The sequence below is a fragment of the Homo sapiens genome, chromosome 8 (genome assembly GCF_000001405.40).
Source record: "Homo sapiens chromosome 8, GRCh38.p14 Primary Assembly".
NCBI lineage: Eukaryota > Metazoa > Chordata > Mammalia > Primates > Hominidae > Homo > Homo sapiens.
Genome location: NC_000008.11, coordinates 85,182,012 through 85,195,245, shown reverse-complemented (window position 1 = coordinate 85,195,245; position 13,234 = coordinate 85,182,012). Strand labels below are relative to the sequence as shown.

General features: G+C 38.1%; 1 protein-coding gene across 3 annotated transcripts in view, besides 1 other annotated feature; it reads right to left on the bottom strand.

Annotated features, from left to right (window-relative positions):
• Positions 1–13,234, bottom strand: part of E2F5 (E2F transcription factor 5) — a 37,365-nt gene that overhangs the window by 19,273 nt on the left and 4,858 nt on the right. Inside the window, exon 1 of one of the 3 annotated variants that reach the window (NM_001083589.2) lies at positions 7,450–7,581. The exons of the other annotated variants lie outside the window; for them this stretch is intronic. The gene's annotated coding sequence lies outside the window, so the exon portion shown is untranslated. Of the gene's footprint in view, positions 1–7,449; positions 7,582–13,234 lie in introns of those variants that run through there. 3 annotated transcript variants of the gene reach the window in all.
• Positions 5,297–5,366: an enhancer, noted in NCBI's record as "active region_27591". NCBI's record gives its function as "activates an Ori minimal core promoter by ATAC-STARR-seq in GM12878 lymphoblastoid cells {active_cell/tissue: GM12878}" and the evidence as "EXISTENCE:reporter gene assay evidence [ECO:0000049][PMID:35858748]".

Genomic DNA, 13,234 nt, shown 5'->3' with positions numbered 1-13,234 from the left:
ACATCTGGCTAATTTTTGTATTTTTAGTAGAGAGGGGGTTTCACTATGTTGGGCAAGCTGGTCTCGAACTCCTGACCTCATGATCCACCCACCTCGGCCTCCCAAATTGCTGGGATTACAGACGTAAGCCACTGTGCCCGGCCTCCATATTTTAACCTCACCCTGTCAGCAACACAGCATAAAGCTTAGGAACATGGGCTCTGAGGTAGACCCCACTTATTAGCTGTGTGGCCCTGGGCAAGCTACTTAGCCTCAAATTCCTCATCTGTAAGATAACTATGAAGATATTGTTGCTGTGAGGATTAAATGAATATAATATTTGAAATAGAAGAGTGTCTGGCATAGCCGGGTGTGGTATTAAATTCTACAAAAATTTTAAAAATTAAAATAATAATAATAATAATAAATAACAGGGCCAGGCATGGTGGCTCATGCCTGTAATCCCAGCACTTTGGGAGGCCGAGGAGGGTGGATCATGAGGTCAGGAGTTGAAGACCAGCCTGGCCAAGATGGTGAAACCCTGTCTCTACTAAAACTACAAAAATTAGCCATGCGCGGTGGCAGGCGCTTGTAATCCCAGCTACTTGGGAGGCTGAGGCAGGAGAATCACTTAAACCTGGGTGGCAGAGGTAGCAGTGAGCTGAGATCGCACCACTGCACTCCAGCCTGGGTGACAGAGTGAGACTCTGTCTCAAAAAAAAAAAAAAAAAAAGAGAAACAAACAAAAAAACAACAAAGAGATAAACCTAAGTTAATCAGAAAACTAAGTTATACACAAAATTTCATTGCTTAAAGGATAACGAATGGTGTCAGGAACCTAGACTTGTCATATTCAAGAAAAATGTACTAGACAGAATCTACTAGAATGTACATGGATTTTAAAATAATCTAAAAAATTCTGAAGAAATTATAGTGAATATGAACTATGATTTGAGTTTACCCTAACTTTCATGTTAGCTGTCTTCATTAACTGCCGAATAGCCCATTCTCAAAACTGATTAAAACTCCCAAAATTACTGGGCACACACATACACAAACATACATGCATATACAGCAAAATGTCAAAAATTTCCTTCATGGGAACTTATAAATGTTACATATATAGAAGAAATAAAAAGATTAGACTATCTCAATAATTAAAACATAGAAAACATAAAACCACAAAATAAAACACGGACAAAAGATAGAACTCACAAAAACAAAAAAAGTTACCATTCTTGAAAAAGTTTTCAAACTTTTAATGAGTTAATAAAGGAATAATAATCAAAGGAATACACACCAAAACAATAAAAATGTGTCTATATGAAGGCTTATACATGAATTCATAGCGGTATTCATAACAACCAAAACTATACATTTAGTAGAGTAAATGTATTCATAAGCAAAGTGTGGTACATCCATAAAACAAAACACCACTCGGGGAGTGGAAGGAATGAACCATTGGTACATGCAATAATATGAATGCATCTCAAAAACATGCCAAGTGAAAGAAGCTAAGCACAGAGTACCTACGGTACGACTTCACTGACGTGAAACTCTAGAAAAGGGTATTCTAATTCACAGGAAAAAAAGCAGAGCAATGATTGCTTGGGATTGAGGATGAAGTTGAGGGCTGACTGGGAGGAGGCAAAAGGGAACTGTTTGGGGTGATGAGAATGTTCCACATCTGGTTGAGGTGATGGTCATTCAGGTACAAGTATTTATCAAAACTAATTTAACTGTTCGCTTAAAATAGGAGCATTTTATTGATTGATTGATCGATTGATTGAGATGGATTCTCTGTCACCCAGGCTGGAGTGCAGTGGCATGATCTCCACTCACTGCAACCTTCACCTCCTGGGTCCAAGCAATTCTCCTGCCTAAGCCTCCCAAGTAGCTGGATTACAGGCACCCACCACCAGGCCCAGCTAATTTTTTTATTTTTAGTAGAGATGGGGTTTCACCATGTTGGCCAGGCTGGTCTCGAACTCCTGACCTCAAGTGATCTGCCCGCTTGGCCTCCCAAAGTGCTGGGAGTACAGGCATGAGCCACTGCACCTGGCCAGGAACATTTTAATATATGTAAAGTATATATATAAAGTTGACTGAAAAAAAATACTATTCATTACTTTTCAAATTTGTAAAATATAAAAAAAATTAGAATACCCAACATTTATTTTATGTATGTATGTATACATGTATGTATCCATCTCTCTATGTATCTGTCAGTTACCCAACAAACACTTCAATGTAGCATTTACTATGTGCCAGATACTGTTTAAGTGCTTTAAAAATAAAAACTCATTTTGATAACTTCTTTAATCATAACCACCTGTGGTAGGTAATATTATTGTCCCATTTTTGGAAAAGAGGAAACCAAGGCTGAGTAACTTGCCCAAGGGCACTAAATATTGTAAAGTCAGGACATAAACTCAGAGATACCATGCTACTTCTGATGCTGTGAGATGGTTGGTCACAATCATATGCTGCTACTGGACTGAAAACTAATTTCATCTTTTTGCAATTTGACAACATTAAGTAAAGGACTTAAAAACTATTATTATGCTCTGCTCCAGTAATTCTTTAGTATAAACTGTCTAAAAGCCCAAAATGTTTTCTGGAACATTAATTACCTCTGTTACTAAAACCAGTGGACACTATTAAGTCCTGTTGCATCCTCTGTAGCACTCGACACTGGTTGGCTACTCCCTCATCGTTCTCTAGTCTTGGTGTTACCATACCCTCAGACTTTTCTCTTGTCTTATTTTCCCTTTCTTCTGCCCTCTGCTACTGAACTACTAGTGTTTCAGAGTTCCATTCTTGTTCCTCTTTTTGCTAAAAACCATTTTCCTTACATAAACTTCATAAATCAACCATATCCAAGTCAAACAGGAAGCCCTCAACTTTATCTTGGGTTCCAAACCTATAATTCCGATAGGCTGCCAGAGACCTACCCTAGGATGTCCCACAGGCATCTTATTCATGTCCAGAACTGAATTTACCATTCCTCTCAATTCTTTCTCCCTTTTGATAACTTCTAAGTGAAAATCACCACTATCTACTCCATTTACCAAGCCAGCAATATGGCAGTCATTGATAATTTTTCCTATTCCCATAGACTCCGCACCAGGTTCTGTCACTTCCACTTTCCTATTCCCATAGACTCAGCACCAGGTTCTGTCACTTCCACAATGTGAAGTCACCAGAATCTCTCCATTTCTTATTGTCCCTGCCTCTAACCTAGTTTAAGCCTGTAAATCTGCTTGCAATCCAATATTCTCTTCACACAACAGTCATCTGATTTATAGCCTCTCAAATGTACCCACATGTTTCTCTACCTCTTGGCTCTGACATACACTGTCTTGCTGACTAGGAATGTCCTCTCACTTAACTCAAAACTAATAGCTATTTGTTGAAAGCTTATAATGGACTGGCTGGGTCAGCATTGGTAACACAGAAGACAGTCCCTGGCCTACAGCGAAACATGGGCAAACAAAGGAATAAATAATTCCATATTGTGATAAAGGATAGTAAGGCAAAAACCCAGGCTGCTGAGAATAAGCAGGAACCTACTTCAGTCACTTCAGATTAAGGAGAGTCAGGACAAGCATCTGTATACACTGTATTCCCTTAGTTTCCATTGCTAACTGTCACAAATGACCAGAAATGTAGTTGTTTAAGACAAAACAAAATTTTTAAATAAAATTGGTAATTAAAAATCATATATATTGTTTACAAAATGTTGTTTTGATATATGTATACATTGTGGAATGGCTAAATCAAGCCAGTTAACATGCTTTATCTCACATACTGATCATTTTTTTTGTGTGTGGTAAGAACACTCAAATTCTATTTTCTTAGCAATTTTCAAGAAGGCAATACATTGTTATTAACTATAGTCACCACGATGTGCATTAGATCTCTCAAATTTATTCTTGTCTAACTGAAATTTTGTATCTTTTGACCAACATCTCCCCAAGCTCCTGGTAACCACCATCCTATTCTTAGATTCTATGAATTTGACTATTTTAGATTCTATATATGAGATCATGTGTCTTTCTGTGCCTGGCTTATTTGCTTAGCAAAATATCCTCCAAGTTCTTCTATGGCGTCAAAAACTGACAGGATTTCCTTTTTTTTTAATGGTTGAATAGTAGCACAAATTTATTATCTTATAGTTCTATAGATCAGAAGTCCAAAATGGATCTCACTGAGCTAAAATCAAAATATTGATAAGGCTGTGCTCCTTCTAGATGCTCTAAGGAAGAATCGATTTCTTTGCCTTTCCAGCTTCTAGAGGCTATCACACTTCTTGGCTCATGACCCCTTCTTCCAACAGCAGAAAGGTCATTTTCAAGCTTCCACCTCTTTGGTTCTCACTCTCTTCTTCCTTCTTCCACTTTGAAGAACTTTTTGATTACAACAGGCACAGCCAGATATTCCAGGAAAAATCTCCACATCTTGGCTGGGCACGGTGGCTCATGCCTGTAATCCCAGCATTTTAGGAGGCTGAGGCGGGCAGATCACTTGAGGTCAGGAGTTCGAGACCAGCCTGACCAATACGGTGAAACTCCATCTCTACTAAAAATACAAAAATTACCTGGGCATGGTGGTGGGCATCTTTAGTCCCAGCTACTAGGGAGGCTGAAACAGGAGAATTGCTTGAACCCGGGAGACGGAGGTTGCAGTGAGCCGAGATCACACCACTGCACTTCAACCTGGGTGACAGAGCGAGACTCCATCTCAAAAAAAAAAAAAAAAAAAAAAAAGGAAAAATCTCCCCATCTTAAAATCAGCTGATTAGCAACTTTGACCTTAGTTCCCCTTTCCTATGTAACTGAACATATTCACAGGTCCTGGGAATTAGGACATGACCATCTTTGAGGGACCACTGTTCTGCCTACAAAAACATCTAAAAGAAGGAAAAAAAAAAACTAAGACCAGACGGTTTGGAGAAGTGGCCAGTTGTGTGTTTGTGTATGTGTGGTGCAGTGGTGGTGGTGGGGTGTGTGTGTGTGTGTTTTCACACACGTGCAGAAGTCCATTTCAGGCAGCAGGAAACACCTGTGCAGCAGCCCTGAGGCAGGAGGAGAGGGCATGTGAGAGTGCTGAAAGACAGTCAGTGAGACTGGAGTCATCTAAGAGGGAGTGCATAGACGAGGTGGCAGAGGAAGGAGGGCCAGACTAGGCAGGATCTTGTAGGTGTCTGAACGTTGTTCTAAGTAGAGGTATAATATAACCTTAAATTCTTAAATTGTATATATATTGATGACATCTGGCTTTTGAGTCCCGGAGTTCCTAGGTCAGCTCCCAGCTACTCCCTGAAGCGTAAGGCTCAGGTAGGTGCTTCCAAACACCCCTCACAGTGTGAAAAGCGTGGAACTGCCCATTTCTCTGACTTTTTCTGATAATTATAATCTGGAAGCTACTAAAATAAAGAACAACGGGGCACACATTTGTGAATACATATTCATTGTATGAAATAGGAAAAAAACATAAAAACTTATATACCTACTAATAAGAATGGTTAATTCTGGGTAATGTGACAGATCAAAATTATGAAGACATTATAAATCATGTTTACAATTTGGAAAAAGAGGTTGGGTGCAGTGGCTCATGCCTACAATCACAGCACTTTCAGAGACTGAGGCGGGTGGATCACTTGGGGCCATGACTTTAAAACCAGCCTAGCCAACATGATGAAACCCCATCTTTACCAATACACAAAAATTACCCAGGCATGGTGGTTCACACCTATAATTCCAGCTACTTGGGTGGCTGAGGCAGGAGACTCGCTTGAGCCTGGGTGGTAGAGGTTGCAGTAAGCCAAGATCTCACCACTGCATTCCAGCCTGGGTCACAGAGACTCTGCCTCAAAAATAATAATAATAATATTAATAAGTAGGAACAATAAACATTTGATCTCAGCTATAAAAAGTTGCAAGAAATGGGAAATACTAAAAATTGTTGACAGTGGTTCTCTGTGAGTGGTTGCATACTGGGCAAGTTTTACTCTAGAGTATATTAACCTTTTCCCAAGCTTTCTACTGATACTTCAGTAATTGTATTTTAGGTTGGAAAAGGAACATCAGAAAGTATATCCTCACTTTCACAAAAATATTAAGATGTAAGAGGAAACTTACTCATAATTGAGGACAGTCAGTCTTTACTGGTGAAATTAAAACAATGATTTATTTAGGAAGGGATGGAGCAAGATGGCAGAGTAGGACGCTTCAGCAATTTTCCCCAGCAGAAACACCAATTTGAACAAGCATCCATACTATAACATACCTTCACAAGAGCTAAATAAGCCATATAAGAGATTACACTATCTGGTTGCAGCACAATAATAAGAAAAGTCACATTGAAGAGGGTAAGAAGGGCAGTTTTATATTACCCCGTCATCCTTCCCTCAACCCTAGGAAGCACAGCAAGGAGAGAGACACCATACCTTTAGCTCCAATGCTAGGATTGCCAAAGTAAAACCTAACACTGGTGAGACCACCACAACCCCATGTTCCAGGCTAGTGCGCATAGACTGAAGCTCTAGATCCAGCCTGGTGCCAAGCAGGATCACATAACCCGAGGCTTCAGGCTTTCAAGGCAAACTCAATCTCTGGGCTGCACCAATGCCAGGCTGATGTCAGCAGTCCAGGGCTCTGGACAGCTCACAATACCAGGGATATCTCAGTGAACTTTGGCTTCAGATTGCACCACTCCTGTGCTGGCCACATCTGCCAAAAGCTTCTGGCCTGCCTCAGTGCTCAAAGTGCTGAAAGAAACCCTGCCAGCCAAGAATACCAAACCCCACAAAGCTGTCCTTCAGAAATGAAGAAGAGATAAAGCCTGTTCCAGAAAAACAGAAGATAAGGGAGTTCATGACTACCAGAAGTGTTTTACAAAAAATGGTAAAGGGAAGTCTTCAATCTCCAAAAAAAAAAAAAAAAAAAGGATGCTAAGGAGTAACACAAAACAATCTGAAAGTCTAAAACTCACTTAAAAGTAAGTACACTGACTAAAGATATAAGCAATTTATGCAGCATCATCACAGAATTAAAGTATTCTGGATTTTGTGTAAAAGTTAAAAGACAAAACTATTAAAAATCATAGTAGCTGCAATAATTTTTAAGCAATAGACGATATAAAAAGATAAAACTTGTGACATCAAATATTCAAAATGTGAGGAGGGGACTGGAATAAAAGCATAGAGGCTTGTTAGGTTTCTTTTTGTTTGTTTGTTTTTGCGATCAAACTTGTTATCAGCTTAAAATACCGCATTGTAAGATATTTTTTTGTAAGCCTCATGGTAACAACAAAGCAAAAACCTATAGCAGATACATAAAAAGGCAAGGAATCAAAACATACCACTAGACAACAACATAATTTAGCCACAAAAGAAGATAGAAAGAAAGGAAGAAAATATCTACAAAACAACTAGAAAACAACAAAATGACAGTATTAACTACTTACCTATGAATGATAACCCTGAACGTAAGTGGATTAAGTTCTCCAATAAAAAGGCAAAGTAGTTAAATGGATTTTTAAAAACACTCAACTTATGCTGCCTATAAGAGGCTTGCTTCACCTGTAAGGACGTAGACTGAAAATGAAAGAACAGAAAATGATACTCCATGCAAATAGAAACCAAAAGAAAGCAGAAGTGGCTATACATATATCAGATTAAATAGATTTTAAGTCAAAAACTATAAAAAGATACAAAGGTCACTATATAATAATAAAAGGGTCAATTCAGCAACATGAGATATAACAGTTGTAAATATGTGTGAACCCAATATAGCAGCACCTAAATATATAAAGAAAACATTAATAAATCTGAAGGGAGAGATAAACAGTAATACAACAATAGTAGGGGATTTCAACAGCCCACTTTCAGTAATGGACAGAACGTAGAGACAGTAAATAAGAAAATATCAAATTTAAACTATACTCTAGATCAAATGAACCTAACATCCATCCAACAGTAGAAGAATACACACGCTTCTCAACTGCACACAGAACATTCTCCAGGTTAGATTATATATGAGGCCAAAAAACAAATCATAACAAATTCTAGAAGACTGAGATAATTACAAGTATCTTTTCTGACAAAATCATTAACAAGAGAAACTACAGAATATTCACAAATACATGGAAATTTAAAAACAAAAAACATGCTCTTAAACATCTAATGAGTCAATGAAAAAATACAAAGGGAAACTGAAAAATATCTTAACAAATGAAAATGGAAACAATATAACAAAATCTATGGAATACAGCAAAAGCAGTTCTAACAGGGATTTTTTTTTATGCTTGGATTGTTAGAGAAAACTAAGGAGGAATTTATATATATACACACCATATATATACCTTACATATATATATACCATATATATACACCTTATATATACACACCATATATATACACCTTACATATATATACCATATATATACACCTTATATATACATATCATATATATACACCTTATATATACCGTATATATACACCTTATATATACCATATATATACCTTATATATATCATATATACACCTTATATATACCATATATACCATATATATACCATATATACCTTACATATATACCATATATACACCATATATACCTTACATATATACCATATATATACCTTATATATACCATATATACTTTATATATATCATATATATACACACACACCATATATATACCTTATGTATATACCATATATATATATACCGTACATATATATACACACACACATACACACACCTTAAGTTCTGGGGTACATGTGCAGAACGTGCAGTTTTGTTACATAGGTATACATGTGCCATGGTGGTTTGCTGCAACCATCAACTCGTCACCCACATTAGGTATTTCTGTTAATGCTATCCCTCCCCTAGCCCCCCAACCCTGAACAGGCCCCACTGTGTGATGTTCCCCTCCCTGTGTCCATGTGTTCTTGTTCAACTCCCACTTACGAGTGAGAACATGTGGTGTTTGGTTTTCTGTTATTGTGATAGTTTGCTGAGAATGATGGTTTCCAGCTTCATCCATGTCCCTGCAAAGGACATGAACTCATCCTTTCTTACGGCTGCATAGTATTCCATGGTGTATATGTGCCAGATTTTCTTTATCCAGTCTACCATTGATGGATATTTGGGTTGGTTCCAAGTCTTTGCTATTGTGAATAGTGCCACAATAAACATACGTGTGCATGTGTCTTTATCATAGAATGATTTATACTCCTTTGGGTGTATAGCCAGTAATAGGATTGCTGGGTCAGATGGTATTTCTAGTTCTAGATCCTTGAGGAATCACCACACTGTCTTCCACAATGGTTGAACTAATTTAAACTCCCACCAACAGTATAAAAGCATTCCTAATTCTCCACATCCTCTCCAACATCTGTTGTTTCCTGACTTTTTAATGATCGCCATTGTAACTGGTGTGAGATGGTATCTCATTGTGGTTTTGATTCGCATTTTTCCAATGACCAGTGACGATGAGCATTTTTTCATATGTTTGTTGGCTGCATAAAAGTCTTCTTTTGAGAAGTGTCTGTTCATATCCTTTGCCCACTTTTTGATGGGGTTGTTTTTTATTGTAAATTCGTCTAAGTTCTTTGCAGATCCTGGATATGAACTCTTTGTCAGATGGGTAGATTGCAAAGATCTTCTCCCATTCTATAGGCTGGCTGTTCATTCTGATGATAGTTTCTTTTGCTGTGCAGAAGCTCTTTAGTTTAATTAGATTCTATTGGTCAATTTTGACTTTTGTTGCCATTGCTTTTCGTGTTTTAGACAAGAAGTCTTTGCCCATGCTTTTGTCCTGAATGGTATTGCCCAGGTTCTTTTCTAGGATTTTTATGGTTTCAGGTCTTACGTTTAAGTCTTTCATCCATCTTGAGTTGATTTTTGTATAAGGTGTAAGGAAGGGCTCCAGTTTCAGTTTTCTGCATATGGCTAGCCAGTTTTCCAACATCATTTATTAAATAGAGAATCTTTTCCCCATTTCTTCTTGGTGTCAGGTTTGTCAAAGATCAGATGGTTGTAGATGTGTGGTGTTTATTTCCGAGGCCTCTGTTCTGTTCCATTGGTCTATATATCTGTTTTGGTACCAATACCATGCTGTTTTGGTTACTGTAGCCTTGTAGTTTAGTTTGAAGTCAGGTAGCATGATGCCTCCAGCTTTGTTATTTTTGCTTAAGATTGTCTTGGCTATGCAGGCTCTTTTTTGGTTCCCTATGAAGTTTGAAGTAGTTTTTTCCAATTCTGTGAAGAAAGTCATTGGTAGCTTGATAGGGATAGCATTGAATCTATAAATTACTTTGGGCAGTATGGCCATGTTCATGATATTGATTCTTCCTATCCATGAGCATAGAATGTTTTTCCATTTGTTTGTGTCCTCTCTTATTTCCTTGAGCAGTGGTTTATAGTTCTCCTTGAAGAGGTCCTTCACATCCCTTGTAAGTTGGATTCCTAGGTATTTTATTCTCTTAGTAGCAATTGTGAATGGGAGTCCACTCATGATTTGGCTCTTTGTCTGTTACTGGTGTATAGGAATGCTTGTGATTTTTGCACATTGATTTTGTATCTTGAGACTTTGCTGAAGTTGCTTATCAGCTTAAGGAGATTTGGGGCTAAGACGATGGGGTTTTCTAAATATACAATCATGTCATCTGCAAACAGAGGCCATTTGACTTCCTCTTTTCCTGTTTGAATGCCCTTTATTTATTTCTCTTGCCTGACTGCCCTGGCCAGAACTTCCAACTCTGTGCTGAATAGGAGTGGTGAGAGAGGGCATTCTTGTCTTATACTGGTTTTCGAAGGGAATGCTTCCAGTTTTTGTCCATTCAGTATGATACTGGCTGTGGATTTGTCATAAATAGCCTTATTATTTTGAGATATGTTCCACTGATACCTAGTTTATTGAGAGTTTTTAGCACGAAGGGCTGTTGAATTTTGTTGAAGGCCTTTTTGCATCTATTGAGATAATCATGGGTTTTTGTCATTGATTCTGTTTATGTGATGGATTTATTGATTTGCGTATGTTGAACCAGCCTTGCATCCCAGGCATGAAGCCAACTTGATCATGGTGGATAAGCTTTTTGATGTGCTGCTGGATTTGGTCTGCAGTATTTTATTGAGGATTTTTGCATCGACGTTCATCAGTTATATGGGCCTGACATTTTCTTTTTTTTCATTGGCCCATTTGGTTTCTTCAGAGGCCTCGCTCCTTGGCTTACAGATGATCACCTTCCTGCTGTGTCCTCACATGGTCTTTCCTCTGGGTGGCAGCATCTGAGGCATCTCTTTGTATATCCAAATTTCCCCTTTCTCATAAGGACCCCAGTCAGATTAGATCAGGTCACAGCTTAATTTTAGCTTAATTATCTTTCAAAGGCCCTATCCCCAAATACAATCACATTCTGATGTATGGAGGTAAGGCCTTCAACATATGAATTTTGGGGGACACATTTCAGCCTATAACATCCATTAAGCAACAAATTCCATTCTGTTTTCCCTCAACCCCTGGTAACCACCCTTCTACTTTCTGCCCCTGTGAATTTGACTACTCCAGGTACCTCACGTAAGTGGAATCATACAGTATTTATCTTTTTGTGACTGGCTTATTTCACCTAGCATTATGTCCTCAAAGTTTATCATGTTGCAGCATATGTCAGCATTTTCTTCTTTCTAAGCCTGAAGAATATTCCATTGTATATATACCACATTTTGTTAAGCTACTCATCTATTGACGGACATTAGGATTGCATCCACATTTTGGCTATTATGAATGCCACTGTTATGAACACAGGGGTATACATACCTTCTTGAGGCCCTGCTTTCAATTCTTTGGGTATACACCCAGGAGTGGAAGGGTCCTGAGAATTTGTAAGCATGCACTAAAGTTCTCGCTGTCCTACCCACATATCTCTCCTTAGGCTAATTCTACCTTAAAATGTTTGCCTGGTATTACAAACTAGGGTCTTTTGTTGTCGTTGTTGCTGTTTTTCGAGACGGAGTCTTGCTCTGTCACCCAGGCTGGAGTGCAGTGGCGTGATCGTGGCTCACTGCAAGCTCCGCCTCCCGGGTTCACACCATTCTCCTGCCTCAGCCTCCTGAGTAGCTAGGACTACAGGCACCAGTCATCACACCCGGCTAATTTTTTTGTATTTTTAGTAGAAACGGGGTTTCACCGTGTTAGCCAGGATGGTCTCAATCTCCCGACCTCGTGATCTGCCCGCCTCGGCCTCCCAAAGTGCTGGGATTACAGGCGTGAACCACCGGGCCCGGCCAAACTAGTGTCTTCAATTATTTATTTATCCCAGGATGTATCTAAATCAGGCTCATAAACGGGTATGCATCAGGGACCTGTCAGATAAGACGCACCATACTTTATCACATTAATTCAGGTATAATTCAGGTAATTTATTAAGTTAAAGAATTATAATAAAAGAGATAAGCAATCTTCATCATGCTTAAAAAAGCTCATACTGACACCAAAATGGCAAATAAAATGTAGAACTTTAGTTATAACTTACATTTAATAGGAATTTTCAAAACAACATACAGATACATAGTCATGACTATCTTAACAGTTGTTCAAATTCTTAACTGTGAACAAGTGAAATCCTAGTTTAATTTATGCAATAATACAGAATATGTCACCAATAGCTTCATTTTCAGGAGCACAGTACCTCCTTCTTTTCCACCTTGGGCAGAGGAGTAAGAATAATCATGCATTTTTCCATGCCCTTATGCAAATGGAAACCTACCTACATACATTTATTTTTGAAGACTACTGAAAGATGGTATAACATAGAGAATAACAATAAATGGTCTAATTTCAAATCTTAGCTCTCACTTTCTACTGTACAACACCAGGCAAGTTATCTAACCTATCTTGGCCTACTTAACTAGCAGTTTCTTACGCTGTGAAATGGGGCTGTTCTGCCGAAATGTTCACTGTTGTTAAGAGGATAACATTAGCTAAAAACATGTAAAATGTTTTGCATATGGTAAGCTCTTGATGTATATTAGCTATTAACAGCATAAACTGGCAAACCACGTAGCTTGAAATAACCATGATATAATTTCTTATCTCACTGGAATAAAGAAATAATAACTATCCCACCTCCACTATTGTAAATGAGACTATATGGTGTAGGTGAAGCTGCAGAGATAATGAATAAACTTTCCTCACATCACTTTCAATGTCTTTCTATTGCTTCCTAATTGTTAAGTTATACTACA